General features: G+C 46.5%; 1 pseudogene; it reads left to right on the top strand.

The window, feature by feature from the left end:
* Nucleotides 18,412-18,912, top strand: LOC100131747 (small EDRK-rich factor 2 pseudogene; annotated as a pseudogene).

Below are 19,419 nucleotides of genomic sequence, written 5' to 3'. Positions count from 1 at the left end.
CCAAAGCCCAGCCGGCTCATCATTTTTTTTTTTTTTAAACTTGAGACAGAGTCTTGCTCTGTTGCCCAGGCTGGAGTGCAGTGGTGCAATCTCAGCTCACTACAACCTCCACCTCCTGGGTTCAAGTGATTCTCCTGCCTCAGCCTCCCCAGTAGCTGGGATCTCAGCTCACTGCAACCTCTGCCTCCTGAGTTCAAGCGATTCTCCTGCCTCAGCTTCCCAAGTAGCTGGGATTACAGGCATGCACCACAACATCTGGCTAATTTTTTGTATTTTTAGTAGAGACGAGGTTTCACCATGTTGGCCAGGCTGGTCTCGAACTGCTGACCTTGTGATCCACACACTTTGGTCTCCCAAAGTGCTGGGATTACAGGCATCAGCCACTGCACCTGTCCCCATCACTTTTATATCACTTCCTTTCAGTGCTCCCAGGATGATACACCCTTCTTTTCATTTCACCACTTTAACCCCTCTGGGCCAGTCTCTGTGTTCTAGTTAACCTCAGCAACTTGCAGAGCAGAACTGACTTGTATAAGGCTAATTGGAGAGGAGGAGCAGATTATGAAAGGCCTACAAAAACAGCCCTGTGGCCCAGGAGACATGAAGCAGTGCAGTGGACAGCATGATGCAGGAAGCAACCTGCTGGGGTGAACAAGGAAGACTGTGGACCTGTGGCAGAGGCTGAGGGCAAAGACGGCAGCCAAAGCCCTGGGCCAGAAGGTGGTGCAGGTGTTGCCAAAGTGACAAAGAAATTTGGCCTGGAGCTCCCTTCTCTACACCCTGCCCTCCCTCAGTTCCACTGTAGCTAGAGCGCTGGAAGCTGAGTTGCGGTGTCAAGCACATGTGGGCATTTGTGCCTGCCCACCTACTCACACCCCTATGGGGATCTTCATCATTGGCACTGACCCCTTCTCCATTATACCAGATTGTCCACGTCCCTTCCTGATGGCTAACAAGATGCAAATACATTCACATCCCTCTCCCAGGTGTGCTTCTCTAAGGTAACAAAGTCCTTCAGTTAATCCAGCCCTGAGGGACAGGAGAGATAGGGCAAGATCTTCAAGTCCCTAAATCTGAAAGGGAAACAAATGGCCCAACACTGCAGTCCTTGGTGTTAATGAGAAAGACCTGGAGAGACCGTTAAAATTACAGACTCCTGGGCCCCTATGCAGAACCACTGAATGCGAATCTCCAGAGGCAGAGTCTCCTTGGCTGCCTCAGTGGCACCACAGGGAATCCAGATGCACACCAAAGTTTGAGAACTACTGGCTTCAGGAGCCAGTTCTACAGAGTCTGAAATAAGAGATGCTCCGGAGAGAACCCAAGGTATCGTAATTCTGTAACATTAGCAATTGAAATGGGATTAGTAAAGATTGCTAGCACTTACTAACCATTTCTGATGTGCAGGTGCTATTCCTGTGTGCTGTACACGGCTTATTTCCTTCTCACGGTAACCTTACGAAGTAGGTTCTGCTGCTGTCTTCATTATATAGAATAGGAAACAGAGGCACAGAGAGGGTGTTCTAAGATCACATAGCTAGTAAGTAGCAAAGCCTAATTTGATCTCAGAAAGTCTTACTCCAAAGTCTCTGCTCTTAACCATTATGCCATGCTGTCACCCTTTCGCCTCTCTTATTAGGTGTGAGAGTTGAAAGGGGAGAGGTGGTCTAAAGAAGAACTGAGAGGAGGATAAGATAGCTGAGCTCCTTCTTTCCCACCTACCACCAATCCCCTCCACACTAAGAGGAGGATAATGAAGGGTTTCAGAGAAGAGATTATGAGAAAGAAAGGCCTCTATCATTTGCATTTCAGTCTGGTCACTTAAGTAATAACATCCCGCGGGTGCCTCCATGCTTCCCAGGAATGGCAAAGTCTGTTCCCTTTGTCTGCCATAATTATTTCTCTTCATTAACACCTGACAAGGTCCTACTGACCCTTCAAGTCTCCCTGGGAAGCCTTAGATAACTCTCCACCCTAACAGAGTCTATCATGACTTTTTATCTTCTTTTGCAATTATAGGTGTTCACATCTTCCTCTAGTCATTGTTCCTTGAAATCAGGGCTCCACAGCCCTGTTTATCATTGTAGTCCCCATGCTTGGCACATAAGAGGCACTCAATAAATCTTGTGGGAAAAAATGAATGAGGGAACGAAACATTTATTGAGCACATACTATGTGCCAGACGCTGCAAGACCTTATGGATCTTTGAAGATGTGTGGACATAGTTCCTGCTCACAAAGAATGTACAATCTTGTTAGGAGGAACAGATGTACCCCCAAGAAGAGTGAGACCTGGAGGCATCACTGGCCTCCCATGTCACTGTAGGTCAGTCACTGCCCTGCTTCCTCTTTTCCTCCTGGTACAAAGGGTTTATAAGTTCTCTGAGGACACTCCCTATTCTCTTGTCTATTTCTACATAGAGACATCATTAAATGGACCCTGTGTACTCGTGGTTTGGAAGGTGGAGGAGCCAGGGAGAAGGACCTGGAAAGAACACTTCTCGCTGGTACTGGGATAGAATGGTGGTTGCACAGTGAGCAGGAGAGGAAAAATGACAAAGGCCCTGGGACCCTGGGGAAGAAATAAGAGGCTTCTCTGACAGCCAACCTGGGAAGATGAAATGCTGCTAGGGGGTTGATTTGTATGTCTTGGGCACCAGTCAAAGGCTGCTTTCCGTAGTCCTGTTATTTGAGGGGAGTGGGAGGGTGGAAGGAGCTGCCTCCTTATCGCTTCCTCTCCTTAGCCAGTTCTGCTGAGAGCCCAAAAACCCTAAGACCAGATCGTCAACCCCAGCCTGCTGCACAAGATTTGTTTAGGCCTTGCGTACTAATTGGCTCCACTCTGGTGCTCCAGAAACTTAATTGTGAGCCCATCACGACCTCTTCTGTCCTCAGATAGGAATGTGCACAGGCTTGTAGCAGAAACTGGGATTGCACAAGGGACAGGATGTTGGAGGGTGGGGTGGGAAATCCTGGGTGTTAAGCTTTGCCTGAGTTGATGCAAGGTCATCTTCTGAAGGATGAGATGAAGCAACAAAGTCAGGAGGCCCAGCCAGGGCCACAGAGGTCAAGGAGGCAGAGGCATCCTATGAATTTCCCTAGTGGAAAATCAGGTGTCAGGACACAGGGTGGAAAAGTTAATGGATCTCCCAGGTCCTTGCTATTTTCTTTTTCTTCTGATTGCAGACACTTCCCAAATGACTTGTCCAGGCCTGGCCAGTCCCTCAGCAGAGGCTGGATAGAAGAGGTTAGGGTGGAGAGGTCAGCATTGCCAACAGGACTCTGGAGCCCCAAGGAACCCAATCTGTGTTCTTTCCAGAATGAGTCAGAATAGGCTGCCACAGCAGGCAGCCTTGCCGGGTCACCATTCCAGGTGACCGGGGCCACAGCACAGTCCATGCATCCCCATCCTGGTCCTGTGCAGGTGGGATTGAAGGTGCTCAAGCCCAGTGCTCTGGGACTGTGCGTCACATCCCCTAGCTGTTCATGCCCCTCTGACTTCAAGCCCCAGGCCTGATAACTGGCTTTTTTCTGTTTTGCTCTTGAGCCCCAGTTCCTTATCCCATGAGGACCTAGACTTCTCCACCAGCCTTATAGTGAAGGCTCCATCCATTGAACCCGTTTCTGGAAGCTGTTTCTTCTCCTGGCCCTCCTGCTCTTGCCCAGGGACAGAAGATCCCAATTAGATATCCATGGTAGCCATTCTTAATCGATCACATCACTCTTTCCTGTTTTTTTTCCGCTAAAGCAAGACTTAAAATCCCCCTTGACACAGAGCTCCAGACAGCCACTACCAAACCATTACACCCAGCATGGGAACTGAATCCTATTTGCCATCTCTGCTTTTTCCATTTGGACCCCTCCCAGGCCCTGCAGCTGGGACCTCTAGCAAGGACTGCCCTCATTTTCCCCGCCCCCACCCCCGCGCCTTGCCCCATTTCACCAGGCTATGCCCCAAATATGGCAAGAAGCTCAAAGATGCTAATTATGACTTAAATTCATTTTTCCTTCTAATCTCAAAGACTTGCATTACTCTATCCATTTTAGGAAGAGGGAAATTTTGAGGAGCGAAGAATGTACAGGACTCTTATTTGACTTATGGTCCAAAGTTGGGGAAATAATCCCCTGATAGGCTGAGCAAAGTCCCAGAGTGTAACCAGAACCCCCAGCTACATCTGATTTCTCACCTACTAAAAAAGCAAAGCACATAAGCTCCATCTACCTTAGGGGCAATCCCAGTTTTCACTCAGCAATAAACTCTCATTTCACACTTCTTTCCTGCTGCTTGCTGCTAAGTACAGAGATGTCTATATATACATAACTACCCTTGCCCTAAATGGGCCCAAAGCCCACCCCCTGAATGTATGTTTGGGACACACTGACTTAATGCAGATCAAAGGCACTGGTTTCTTAAACCTTGTGTTTCAGAATCACCTGCAAGCTTGGTAACATATAGATTCCTAGGCTCCATCCAGTTCAAACCAAGAATCTCCTGGATAAGGGCCTGAGACTCTGTGTTTATAACTCCCTGGATCAGTAGTCCTTAAAGTGTGAACCCCAGCAGCAGCCACACCTGAGAACTTATTAGAAATGCACTAACAACTCCTCAGGTGATTCTGATGCAATTCCAGTCTGAGAACCTGTTGCCCTGGGTGGTCCTGGGTAGATTCAAGTTTGGGAGCCATTGATCCAAGGGACCCTGTAGAAGTCTGACTCCAGCTGTGGTCCCTTGACCCTATCCAGTGCAGCCCAAATGGTAGGGAGCAAACCCTGGGGCATCTTTAGTCTTCTCTAGGTGACTGGCCTGTTGAAAGGAAAAGGCTGGAATAGACAACTTCTCCAAGGCTGTTGATATACCTGGCAGCAGTTTCTGTTGGCCGCCAGAGAGCCAGCCAAGCAAAGGCCCTTCTGAAAGGCTCTATTCAAAGCTGTTAAATGAGCAAACAGAATCGCTTTTTTCCTTTCCCCTGCACCTGGAGCTGTGACCAGAACTGTTGGCAGCTGCAGCTGTGGCCCCACGAGAGGGCCGGGGCAAAAGAAGATCAATCCTTACCTGCTGGAGAGCTAGGCCCCTGAGAAGGGGCTGGCAAGAGGGTTCAGAAGAGGGAATGTACCCCAGATACAGGGCCAATTCCTCAGAGTGGGAAAACCCATTCCTTCTCTGCATCCCTAGCACAGTGCTTACATTCAGACAGTGCCTGGGAGGTGGGCTGTGCTGCATGCCCAGCAGACGGAGTCTCTAGGGGTCTCAGACTGTAGAGGACAGGTGGACAGGCTGACCACCCACAGACAATTCAAGATGGGAACCTATTCATGCCCAGTCTGAGTCAAGGCACTGTAGGGTTGCAGCTGTGGACCACTTCAGTTGCAGATAGAGCAGAGATTTGAATCTGCCCTGTCCTTCAAGGTCCACATCACATGTCCAGAGCAGGGCTTTGTGCTGCACTGACCACTGCCCAGAGGTAATGACATAGTCGTGCATCCTGTCTCAGGGCTCTAGCAGTCTAAATCATTTCCCCAAGGCCAGTACAAGTCTTGGTTTCTGGTTTCAACTACAGTTTATTTATTTAATCTCCCATCTTCTGATTCACTTGCGGACCAGGAATCAACCCTCTGGTATTCTATCAAATCATAAGGCTTTTACTATATCAAACTTGAAATCCAGATGGACTGAAACCCATCACCACTCATGTTCCAGGAAACCATTCTTACCAGCCGTATGCTTGGGTAGCCTTTGTGCCCCTTCCCGGATCAATCTCCTTATCTGTAAAATAGAAAGATACCACCAACTTCACAATACCCTTCCATCACATTTCAGTCACTTAACAAAGCTTAATTACCTACTTACTTTCTCCTTTAAGTTGAGAAGCCAGTATGCAAGGCCACAAAATGGTAGAAGTGGGGTCTGAGTCTGGATTTTCTGTCGCCCTACATAGAATATCATGCTAGTAAGTTGAATTGTGTGCCCCAGAAAGATAGGCTGAAGTCCTAGTCCCCTGTGAATGTGACCATAATTGGAAATAGGGTCTTTGCAGATGCAATCAAGTTAAGATGAAGTCATACTGGATTGGAGTGTGGTGTCTATAAAGAAAAAAAAGGCAGGTTTGGGTACAAAGATACACAAAGAAGGCTATGCGAAGACAGAGGCAGAGGTTGGAGTGATGCAGCCACAGGCCCAGGAGCTCCAAGGATTCTTGGGAGCCACCGGACGCTAGGAAGAAGCAAGAAAGGATTCCTCTCTGAAGGTTTAGAGAAAGGGGCCCCGCCCGTATCTTGATTTCAGACTTCTAGCCTCTAGAACAGTGAGAAAATAGATTTTTGCTTTAAACTACCCAGTTTGTAGTAATTTGTTCCAGCAGCTCTAGGAAACGAACACTAACATTCTCCCCCAGACCTGAAGCACCACTGCTGACCTTTCTGTGGCTGGCCCCATTCCCATCGGCAGCCTTTACCCTCCTGCTGATCCCCAACTTTATCTGGCTCTACATAAAATAACACCATATTTCACATGTGAACCATTCTTTTGTTTGTTTTTTAGAGACAAAGTCTTGCTCTGTCGCCCAGGCTGGAGTGTAGTGGCACCATCATACCTCCCTGCAACGTTGAACTCCTGAGCTCAAGCGAGCCTCCTACTTCAGCCTCCCAAAGCGCTAGGGTTACAGGCATAAGCCACCGCACATGATCAGAGTTTAAAGGCTTTTTGATCTCATTTTATAGATGTGAAAACTGAAGATCAGGGAGATTAAGGTGATTATCCTGTGATACCATGACAAATAAGTGGAAGAGCAAAGACTGAACCCAAATATTCTAACTCTTAAGCCAAAGTTCTTTTTCTTTAAATTTTTTATTGTGAAGTGTAATAACACACATATAGCAATGCACAAACACAAATGTATAGCTCAAGCAAAGCAGCACAACCCACATAAACACCATCTAGGTCAAGGAATAGAATACTGCCTGCCTCCCAGTTGCCCCCCTGGCAATCACTCTCCATTTCCTCCTAACCAAGGTAACCACTGCCCCATGCCAGGCCAGTGATTGGACGACGCATCCCATTTCAACCTCTGTGTCACTAAGAATCATTGGAGGCAGCAGTAAAAAGATGGAAGCCTGTATATGTACTGGGGGAACCCCCTGCTCTCCTTCCTTTAAGGCTCAGGATTTCCCTGAAGCTAAGCCTCTCTAGGGCTCTTCCCCATCGCTTTCTTTAGAGACGTCAAAACAAAACACAACACACAACTCTTCACTGGTCTTGACACTTTCAGAATTGTAAAAGCTGGGAGTGGCTGACACATTTTTTTTTTTTTTAAGCAGTAAAACCATAGACTTTGAACAAGAAGGGAGGGAGGAGATCAGAAGGTAGACCCCAGGGCTGGGATCATGGATGGTTAAGGAAACAAAGCAATAATTATCAAGTCCCTGAGAATAGCCTGTCCACCACATCCCCCTCCCTTCCTCCTACCAGAGACATCTCTGCTATACCAGCAGGGGTAAGCAAGACCCACAGGAGTTTAGTCTAATCTTGCCTAGAGGCAGGCGCAAGCCACGTGGCTTCTTGTCGCGCCTTCCTGTCTGAGTTTGTGATCCCTCTCTTCGCCAGGAGTCTGCGCGCCTGCTGTCAGTATCAGAGGATAGATAAGGCAGGAACAGGGGAGAGTAAGAAAACAGGGGCTAGTCAGAAGGCTCCAGCCAGGATATTGAGCCATCATTCCCTTGCCTGACTTCTGGAAAGTCACTTAACGCCTCTGGGCTGCAGATCCTGCCCTCTGAAGCGAGGGCAACGGGTCAAGTCCCTGTGGCAACACTGATGCAGACATAAGATGCTCCCCAGGTTCCCAGATGAAGAGAGAAAAACAGAAGGATCCTTTTGTAGTGGCAAGCCTCCAGCTCACACCGCCCCTGGCTGCCTCAGTGGAGACTCAATGCAGCTACTTCTGCAGATGCACCCACAAGGCAGGAAAGTGAGGGTCTCTGGAGGGAGGACAGGAGCTGGGGGAAGTGACAGCTCAACAGATGTCGATTACAATCAATGCCACTCTCTATGTGCTGGCAGGCCTGCAGCAGCCAAGGCACTGGAAAAAGGCGAGATCATTACAGGACTGGATGCAAAAGCTATCTCTGCTCAGTTGTCCTGTCTGTTTTCCTTAAGCCAGAGTGGGTTAGATCTCTAAGCCCATGGGGAAATTCATACTACCAGGGCTGTTTTCTGGAAAAAAAAAAAAAAAAAAAAAAAAAAAAAAAAACTATGGCCTGAGTTCCAAGAAGACTGGCCTTATGGGCTAGAAATTGGAAGCTTTCCATTTAGTTCTGATATCTGCTACTTAGAGTGTGCTTGAGCAAGTCACTTCCATTCTTAGTCTCAGTTTCTGCACCTGACAATAGTAACAATTTTTAATTTATTGAGCACATATTATGTGCTAGGTGATGAGCTGGATGCTTAATATGCATTCTCTTTAATATCTGTCCTTTCTACCTCACGGAGATGCTGTGAGGATCAAATAAAAAATATATTTCCTCAAAAACTTAACAGAATTACCAACGAACCAACAATGCTACTCTGAGGTATACACCCTCAAATAATTGAAACAAAACAAGCCACTCAAACACTTGTTCATGAATGCTCATAGCAACTTGACTCTAATAGCCAAAAGGTGGAAACAACCCAAATGTCCATGACTGTATAAACAAGCCATAGTATATATGGACAATGGAATATTACTCAGCCATAAAAAGGAATGGAGTACTGATACATGCTACAACCTGCATGTCCCTTAAAGACATTATGCTAAGTGAAAGAAGCCAGACACGGAATCCCATGTTTTATGACTTATTTTATATAAGATATTCAGAATAGGTAAATCCATAGAGACAGAATAGATTAATGATTGCCAGAGAATCATAGGGTGTACTTCTGGAGTTACAAAAAAGACTTGAAAATAGAGAGTGGTGGTGGCTGCACAACATTGGGAATACACTAAATACCACTGAATTGTACACTCTAAAACTGCTAATTGTATGTTATGTGGATTTCACCTCAATAAAAGATAGAAACATCTGTCTCTGTGGAAGTTTGCGCACTGTTTAAAGTCATGGCTCAGGAGCACAGTTTCCATGTGGAGCACCCTCTGCAGCTTGTCTGGCTTTTTTGGTTTTTGATTATTTACAAATAAATAACTGCCAGCTAACTCATTCCTCTAAAATGAGAAGGAATGGGGGCAGCTTGCCTTAACTTTCCCACACAAGCATATTGCAGCCATGCTCCACTACATATGGTTGAATTCAGCCTCCTGGGTCAGTGTTGTTGCCAAACTGCACAGGCATATGTTACCCATGCATACACTGATGTGCCCACAGACTGTGGTGCTCAGGAGCACACAGTTCCCACAGGGAGGCCCCTCTGCAGTAAGCAAATGTGCCTGAGAGCTCCTAATTGGCCCATCTCAGGCAATGGAGGATTATCAGTGAATATGATGAGTTTCTATTAACACCGAGCCACTTCATACACAGCAGTGCTTCATCAGGGCTCCAATAAAGGCGAGACAGGCTCCAGAGACAATAGCAAGCAGCAGGCCAGTGGAGAGTGGGAGGCTGCAGAGGCAGCAGCCATAATGCATTATGCAGGTGGCATTTGCTTTTAGCTAATTAATAGTGTGCCACACTCCCTGGCTCCTTCTCCCTAGCTGATCTCCAAGCTGATCTCCACTCCTGCCTCTCTTCAGGAGGGTCCCTGGAGAAGCAGGGATAAGGAGGGGAGCCAGGGCCTTGTAGGGATGGATGTGCACCATGGGAAGGAGGGGTGGCTGAATCATTGCTGCTCTCAGCACTCTGGGACTGGTATCCTCCTCCGCTGATTGCACTGGGTTTTATACTTTACATAAAGATCCCAGCAGGGCTGAGCAGACAGGGCAGTGTAGTGCTGTTCCTGACTCATCAGGCAAAGGCTACTTTTTTAGACTGCCAAGGAGGAGGAGTCATCAGGTCTCCTATATTCATCCCCCTGTCCCTCCTCAGGACACAGAGGTCTAGAAGGCATCTGGTTACCAACCTCTGGATCAGCTGCCTTGTTGATTCTGAGGTCACAGACCCTAATGAACCTAGATAAATTGAACCAGGTGACCCCTTTGAATTGCAAAGCTGAAAGAGGAAGTGAGTGCATGCCACTGGGCTCTTTTGCCCTGGGTTGGCGCTGCAGTTACCACACGAACTGCCAGAGGCCCTGCCAGCAGCACTCAAGGTTCCCTCGACCTGGTGGCCAAGCCCACTCAATTCCCGGATGCCATGGGCCTTAGACGATGGCTCCTTCGTGTCTCCTTGCATTTTTCCCAGGCCTGGGAGGTACTGAGGCTTCATGAGAAGCTCCTGGCAGCTGACGGCTGTACCAAACTCAATGGCTGCCATGTGGTTGCCTCAATCATGGCACAGACAGGGGTCTGGATGAGGTTTTGTGGGAAAGGAGAGGGAGCCAGTACAAGCCATTCAAACTGCTTGACCCATCGCCCTCTCCTACACATGTAAAAGGACACACATGTGCACACACACACACTCATCTCTGCATACAGAATACAGAAGAGAGGAGAGAGTTTGTCAGAGGTGGTCCTCTGTAGTTGGAGTGGCATCCAGCTTAAAGCCGGGAGAGAGAAGAAGACAGGCGGAAAAAAAAAAAGAAAGAAAGAGGAGGAGGGAGATGAGGGAGGGAAGGGAAGTAAACATGAAAGAAACAAGAAAGAATAGGAACACAATCTGACTTGCCTTTACCTACAGCCAGCAGGTGCTCCTTCCCATCCCTTCCTCTATGTTACATTAGAAGAGGGTCTCACACAGCAGAGAGGACACTAGTTAAAGCATCAACTTTGTCCCTGCACCCCAGTCACTTCTTCCACTTACTTAAAATGCTGGCTGATGATATCCCCACACATCTCTGAGCCTCCACGGGGCTCCCAGTCTAGGGTTGCAGACACAGGTCTCTAAGGATAACAGTATGATTAGGCAAGCACATGTCCCAGCTACTAACCTTTCAATTCTTTATTTCCTTCCAAATAAAAGCACTTGCTCATGTCAAATCCCAATAATTGGTGACGCTAGCTCCTCTCCTACAAATCCACAGTAGCCAGCTGCAGACCACGGCCTTTCCGACTTAGAGGATCGCCTCCTGCTCCCCGCTCCCTCCCACTCCTCACTGCCTCCTCCTCGGCTGCCTTCCTAGTCATGCCTGCGGCTCTCTTCCCTCCTGTTGAGGCAAGATGGTGTGTCTGGCAGCTGTTAACTCAATGCAGTTTATCAAACTGCTATCTACAATATCCTAGGCATGGGTGCAGAGCTGGGGGAGCTGTTCCTTCAGTAATGTCAGTACAAACCAGGGCCAAAGTCAAAGAATTAGGCAAGAATACAGAAAGAAAAAAAAGGATAAAAAGGAAAAGCCCTCCTCTTATGTACCCTCCAGGTTTGGTTTCCATGGAAACCTGGTTCTGGTGGACAGAGAGGACAGGGTAAGACAGGCCTGTTGCAGTAGGTAGGGTGGGTCCTGCTATGACCCACCACGATCCAGCGGGAAGCTGGATGTCACATGGAGACCCCAGGAGCAGATCTGTTGGAGTTGAGGCTTTCTGGGAGAGCTCTTTTTCAACTCGCATTCCCAGGTGGGGAGAGCTGACTCTTTCAGACAAGTATGGGTTGTAATGCAGGTCTCAGGGCAAATGCTGAGCGCCTCAGGGGCCACCTCTTTCCGCCATTGGTGAGGAGGGATCCTTGGCAACAAGAGAAGCATGGATGGTGAGGGATTGGCAGCAGCTGTGAGAAGCCCGGGAGAATCTTTCTGTATATTTCCCTGAGAAGGATCACTGACAACAGCTCCTGGTGGCCCTCAGGCAGGTGTTGTAGTCGAAAGAACCCTGACTTTGGTCCCAATTTACTCTATCCATTAGTTTATTCATCCATTCATTCATTGGTACTATATGCCAGGTACTGGGCTTGTGTTTAAATCTCAGTTCATCAAAGATTCAAATGATTAATTGAGGCTGGGCACAGTGGCTCACACCTATAATCCCAGCACTTTGGGAGGCCAAGGCGGGCGAATCCCTAGGTCAAGAGATCGAGACCATCCTGGCCAACATGGTGAAACCCCATCTCTACTAAAAATACAAAAAATTAGCTGGGTGTGGTGGCTCGCACCTGTAGTCCCAGCTACTCCAGAGGCTGAGGCAGGAGGATCACTTGAACCCGGGAGGTGGAGGTTGCAGTGAGCCAAGATTGTGCCACTGTACTCCATCCTGGCGACAGAGCAAGACTCCACCTCAAAAAAACAAAACAAAACAAAACAAAAACAAATGATGAATTGATTTAAAAGATTGAAATGATGTAGGTAGAGGACCTAGTCTAGAGCCTTAAAAAATATTCATTCCCTCTTCCAGTTCTCCAGAAAGAAGTCACCTCCTTCTAATCCTACACCCCACACCCCAGTGATCTCCTTAAACCAGAACACTCTTGCTCCTAGAAGATGCTATTTCATTGAAGTTAATGAAATGGGGAGCTGGAGAAAGAGGGGCCAATGGAGAGAGGGGTAGGTCTGAAAAAAATGTAGCAGGCCAGATAGAAATGCCTTAAGGTGGTGAAGTTTGAGAACTTTGAGGCTGGCTGCTGGCAGCCAGATGGGGGAGAAGCAAATTCTCCCACAGGGTGTGTTTCTTAAAGTGATTGGAAATTTAAGAAGTAGGAGATGGGGGAGGGAGTGAATCTTTCTGTATCTTGATTGAAGATCAAAACAATTTCTATTCTTGCAAATTCCCTTAGAAATACAGCCTCATAGGGATTGGGAAAGGAATTTATTTCTTCACAAAGCTTACCAAACAGCCTGGCTGGGAGCCATTTGGCAGTTTTCTCAGCAGGAAAGTTATGGAAGAAGCAACAGTGCCCCCCAAGAAGCTGCAGCAAAAGACATAGGGAGATGGGTATGCCAGTTCCTGCCCCAGGGAACCCTACAGCCAAGGTGCTTTCCCAAGATGCAAACAGACAGCTCTCTGAGCTCTCCCTCCAGTGGCTGAGGACCTTACCAGCCAAGAAGAATAGCCTAAAACTGTGCAACTCAAGTTGGGACAGCTAGAAGTTCATAAAACCCCAGAGAAGCATGATGGGTCTAGAGCACCATTTTTATTCAAGGATCTCTGGGGAGGCAAGGAAATTCTGTTGAAATAAACACTAATATTTGGTAAGATAAAATGCAAACTTTGCATGATTTGTTAACGTCAAATGTGAGATTTTGTCTTGAGCGGGCTGCTTTAGATTATGCCCCTTGATCACCTGGAGGTACACAATCATCCTTCTATCCCTTTCTGGTTATTTCTTAAAGAAAAGTTTGAACAACCCCTCTTTTCGGAGCTAGATGTTTAAAGATTATTTTAGAGGTCATTGTGTCCATCCCTCACCTCTGGATAGCACTCTCAAACCTGGCTACAGACTAAAATCATCAATCAATCAATAAAAAGGATGCCAGGCACCGTCTGCAGAGATTCTGACCTGGAGAGGAGCCTGGGTGTGGGTGTTTTCCAAAGCTCCCTGGTGGTTCTGATATGTGGCCGGGGCTAAGAACCATTCCTCCTTTATTTAGCTGAGTGTGGTGGCATGCACCTGTAGTCCTAGCTACTTGGGAGGCTGAGGTGGGAGGATCATCTGAGTCTTGGAGGTTGAGGCTACAGTGAGCCATGATTGTGCTACTGCACTCCAACCTGGGAGACAGAGTGAGACCCTTTCTCAAAAAAAAAAAAAAAAAAAAAAAAAAAAAGAGGGGGGAGCGAGAGAACCATCCCTCTTAAATGGAGGGCTGTACTGTCAGAAGCTTAGACGCTTTGGGTCTGTTAAATCCCTACTTCTGTTTTGTCTCACAAATGTCAGGTATGTCCTCTCTTTTTTTTTCCAAGCTGCCACCACCTACATTCCTACTAAAATAATCTTCCCTTCGATTTTTCGATAGATTAGGACATAGGGTCCTCCTTTCTACCCACCAACTAGTCTCTGGACAAACACCCAAGGCGAGCATTTTCTAAGCATCTAGCCTAAGCCAGATGTATGCTGGATACTTACAATTGTTTCACAACCACCCACTGAGATAGGTGTTAGTCATCCCTACTCTACACATAAGGAAACTGAGGACCAAAACAATTTAGGAAATGTTCTAGATTTCCAGAATTCAAAACCTTTCTGTCTGACCCCAAATCCACTCCCTTTCCAAGACAACAATGATACATTGGCTTTCCTAAATAGATCCCTCTTTTTAAGAGGTTTTCTTTATTTTAAAAAATTGTCTAACTGTTGCTTTACCATAAGGACTATACACAGGCAAACAGACAATGGAAGAAACTAGAGTTAAAGAAATCTCACACATTACTAGGGGTCATTATTCTGGGTTTTCACTGAACTCCAATGGAACTAGAATCCAAGTTCTTAGACCTTTGGATGGGCACATGGGATATGTCACGCTTCTCACCTTGAAGAAATGTCCCCACCCATCCCAGGTAGGAGCTACCCTGTCTCTTTAGCTCCAGGGAATTCATAATGATGCTACTGCTTAAGTGGTATTCTTGGTCAACTCTTCCCCCAACTCCAAACTTGATTTTTAAACTGCTAAGACTCAGGACATCTCTTCTGGGATGCTTTGTACTTGGCTCTTGGATGCTGACCTTTTCCATGACCCATTGTGATATGGTCTGGCTCTGTGTCCCCACCCAAATCTTATTTTGAATTGTAGTTCCCATAATCCCCATGTGTTGTGGGAGGTATTTCATGGGAGGTGATTAAATCATAGGGGCAGTCCCCCCATGCTGTTCTTGTGACAGTGAGGCAGTGAGTGAGTTCTCACGAGATCTGATAGTTTTATAAGGGCTTTTCCCCTTTTACTCGGGACTTCTCTCTCCTGCTGCCACATGAAGAAGGACATGTTTGCTCCCTCTTTTGCCACGATTATAAGTTTCCTGAGGCCTTCCCAGCCATGTGGAACTATGAGGCAATTAAACTGTGAGTCTTTTCTTTATAAATTACCCAGTCTCAGGTATTTCTTCATAGCAGCATGAGAATGGACTAATATACCCTGTGTAAGTAAGATATTTTCCTATATATCCCCTGAAGATATTTTTCCATAGCTGTAGACAGTTCTGTACCAACCCTGCCCTGCTCTCTTGCTCTTGTTGGGGGTTTGATGATTCCAGTCATCAAAAGTCCTGCTCTACCCTTGGCTAGCTTCTCTCTGGTTTAAGTTACCAAAGTAGATTTACTTGCCTCTAGTGAAAGCTAACTTCTTCACCTTTCATTTATTCAAGTAAGGGTTAGAATGGGCCTTCTACAGGCCAGCACTTGGCCAAGCACTGTGCTAACTTTTGAAGGCACAATGACATTGCCTCTTTCCTCAGGGAGCTTCCAATCTATTAAAATAACCAAGAGTGGTTGCTGCTGAAGGGCCATCACATGGCAGCCCCTCTGCTAGAAGCCTTTATTCTTTATCTCATTTCATCCTCCCAATGGCTAACGAGGTTACGGTTATTGTCCCCATTTATGAATGAGGACACTGAGTCTCATTGATACTTAAGCAATTAGCCCAAAGTCACAGAGCTAATCAGTGGTAGGGCTGGAATTTGAGCATATAACTACGTTCCAAGCCCATGCTTTTTCCTCTACACTGGAGATTCTATATAGCATAGTGGTTAGAAACTCAAACTCTGGGAACAGCCAGACTTAAGTTTAGAATCCCAACTTGGCTATTTAATTACTATCCAATGTTGAACAAATTAATTAGCTTTTCTGAACTTCAATTTCCTCATCTGTAAAAATAAGGTATGATAATACCTATCTCAGGGTTGTGGTGAGAATCTCAGAAATGATAGCTGGTATTTCAGCTAACTTAGAGCTAAACTATTTTAGAGCTAATATCTAGGACTGGCATTTTAGAGCTAATATCTGGGTCTGTTCTCCCCTGCAGTCATGTAATTTCCTTAATAGCATCCTGGGAGCTGGTCTGTCTTATGTTGGTTTCTTCCAACAGCCCTCAGCACAGTCTGAGGGACACCATTAGTTCTTGGCTCATTTGCAGAACAAAGGTGAACATCATGTACAGAGTCACTGAATGGCCAAATCCTCTAGCCTTCAGGTTTTAATTTATCCCCTCTGCCTCCTTCCTTATTCAGGTATCTCTCCCTGAACGGCCCCCCTTTCCTGACTCAAATACACTCATACCTTCTAGAAAGTGGTCTTCTGGGATCCATCATGTCATCATCATGTTAACAATATCAAGCATGCAGTAAACACACAGTAAAAATAAGAGATGCTATCCATTAAAAGAGAAAGGTTGTTCTCTACCTTCTTTTTAAGCAGCTTATTGCTAAAAGGAAATTATAAGCCCTCAGGCATCTTCTAGAACTTGGAAGTTGAGGTCTTTCTCCTATTGCAGTTCAAAGAAAACAAGTCTTTCTCCAGCTCCAACATCTTCATGGCTCTCATCCTTCTGGAAAGAGGACACTCTCCATGATGAGGACTTCTAATGGCCCTTTGGTGCCAAGGGAATAGGAGAAAATATCTCTCTTGGAAGCTTTGGGACACCATTGTTGGGTGCCAATGTAGCCAAGAATTTCCATTGAAACATCAGACTAGGAAAAACTCCCTCGCTGGCGTCAAGAGTTTTCAGGATGGGCCAGCAGCGGGGTCTGGATTATATAATATCGCCATGGTCATCTTTCTGCTGACCTCTGTATATTCAATTCAAGAAATCTGGTTGGGTGGGTTTTCAGTCACACCCTCTTGCCCTCCACCTTCCCTGAGTTATCTGGGATCAGAGGCTGGATCATAAAAACAAGGGTTGTTGAGTCTTGTGGGGGATGAAGAGGAAGAAAAGGGTTGGTGGCCACAAGAACGTCACTGTGTCTTTGCTGGTGGGAACTTGAGTCAGAAGGGACTTCATTTCTCCCAGACAGGGTGGGTCCAGCATCAGAGGCAATGAGCTTTGCCTAGTGATTGTGGCTTAACCTGTACTTTTCTGGGTAGGGAGGAAATAGCAGTGGCCTGAACCCCTGGAAAGTCTAAAGGTTTTCCTGGCCTGGTTGGTGGTGGTTTTTCCACCCAGCATTGAGTACTGAAGACAGACATACTCTGTGGGGAGCCAAAAATACAATTCCTTTCATAACCCTTTACTGATTGCCTACTAAGTGCCAACGCATTGTGTGCCCAGCTGGGACAGGGGCTACAGAAATGCATGACATTGCCTTTCTCTTTAGTTTATTTTCAGTCTAGTGACTGCATAGTGCTGGCTAGACACCCCCTAGAAGATACTGGTGTCCTCCTTCACATGTGGACTCCCTCAGCAAGCAATCTGGTGGACATCAATATCTCATTCTTGGCTTCCCATGTTGAAGGCAAGCTCTGAGGGCCTAGATCCAGGAACCAGGCAAACAAAGCAGCAGTGGCCAAAATGGAGGTAGAAACCTCCACTAAAGGTTAGAGAAAAGAACTTTTGAACAGTGGGTGGTTCCCTGAAACTCTGCCTTCTGACCTGGTCCCAATCATCCCTTCCATCCTTCCTTCATCCCAGGCCTGCCTTGGAACAGGATGGATAGCTAAAGACCTGGTGCACATCTCACCACTTTAGAAATGGCCAAAAAACCCCATGGAGATACTGTCTTTTTGGTGGTGCCCGGTTGGGAAGAATCCAGTCACTATTTGGTTCCCAGACTTTAGTAACTTTCATTGTTAGTAAATGCAGAATTAGTCAGCATGCTGGAATTTAAAAAAATAAACATCTGTACCCAATGGTGAATCTGTCCAGGCTATCTAGGCTCATTTAAAAGTGTTTCCCAGGCTCGGTTGCCAAGATCAGTGTCCTCCACTGAAAGGTGACTGCTTTCTGGACTCAAAAATGACTAGAAAGTTATCTGTGCATTATTCATAAGCATTTTCACAGTAAGGCCATTCTGCTTCACTCATGAGGTCAGAGTTTGCTACATTCAGATCTGCTTTATTATAATCAGGCATTATACCGAAGCCTTCTTTGTGTCTCCAACACTTAGGATCATGCCCAACACATAGTAGATGCTCAAATTTATTAAACGGAAATGAAATATGGGTGGGATGAGGAAGAGAACCCCTATACCCCAGCCCCATCTCACTTTAAAACCCCCCTGCCCCCAGATTCAGGCAGATTGGTCAATCGTAATTAATTAAGCTTCATCTTAGTCGAGGCCAGCCTGACAGCAGGGTAGTCATTGCCCCTCCACTTTGCCAATCCTCTGTGCTAGAGTTAGAGAAAAGTGTGTGGGCTTTCAAGTCATGTAGACCAAGGTTCAGATCCTTGTTTTGCCACTTACCAGCTAGTCACTTTATATCACTAAAACCCTAATTCCTTGGCTGAAAGCAGGGTCAAAAATAAAAAAAAAAAAATCCTGACAGAATGAGGTGACATAACAGAGGCAGGTCGGAGCCACTGCTGTCACCATGACCCGCAGTAACCAGCATGAGCTTACTGGCTAGAAAAATAGGAAAAAGCAGAGTGACTCAGTTAAGGGAAAACGTCGAGATGACGGGCTTTCTGCTGCTGCGGCAAGCAGAGGAGCTCAGAGACCAAGCAGCAGGAGCAGAAGAAGGCAAAAGAGAAGAAGGAGGAACCCGAGTAGCTTTGTGGCTTCATGTCCAACCCTCCTGCCCTTCGCCTATGTGACTGGAGCCAGTCCCACCACCCTCACGTTTCCTCCTGCAGTGCCCGCAGGTCCCCGCACCCATGGCCTCCTTTTGCCCTGAGTCTGCAGCGGGTCCCTTTTGTGCTTCCTTCCCCTCACGTAGCCTCTCTCCCCCTGGCCCCTCCTGGAAGTGGCGGGTGGGAGGTTACCCCTTCCCAGTGTTTTTTTATTCCTGTGGGGCTCACCCCAAAGTATTAAAAGTAGCTTTGAAAAAAAAACACTAATTCCAATGCAAAATATCTACTGTTATCTTTGATAACATAAGTAAACCACCTAGTCTATAGTAGGTGGTCAGAAAAGGCTCATTCATTAGGTTTCATCTTTTTGAAATCTCTTCTTAAATTCTGAGAATGGGTCCCTGACAAGGCCCTTTCTGACAGCCCACACGCTAAGTCAAAAGCTCAAACCTATTGGAGAAACCAAAAGGACCATCTGCCTCGACACTTCTAAATTCTTCAAATTCAAGTCATCTCAGGGTTTCTCAGTTGGTATTTTTTTAAGATAAAGGTGTTTCTTTGATGTTGGCATAAGCCAGTTAACATACTTGAGGAGAGAACATTTAGGACACATGAGTTTATCTAAGCTATTGAGATTCTGTGTGACCCACATTATAATGGTTCTCAAATGTTTTCTTCCAGCCCCTAAACTCCAGATTCAGATTCATATGTCCAACGGTCTACGTGCATCTCCAGGGGAATGCCTAGCAGGCATCTCTA

This window comes from Homo sapiens, chromosome 1, assembly GCF_000001405.40.
Source record: "Homo sapiens chromosome 1, GRCh38.p14 Primary Assembly".
Lineage (NCBI taxonomy): Eukaryota > Metazoa > Chordata > Mammalia > Primates > Hominidae > Homo > Homo sapiens.
This window is presented reverse-complemented; position numbering and strand designations above follow the sequence as displayed.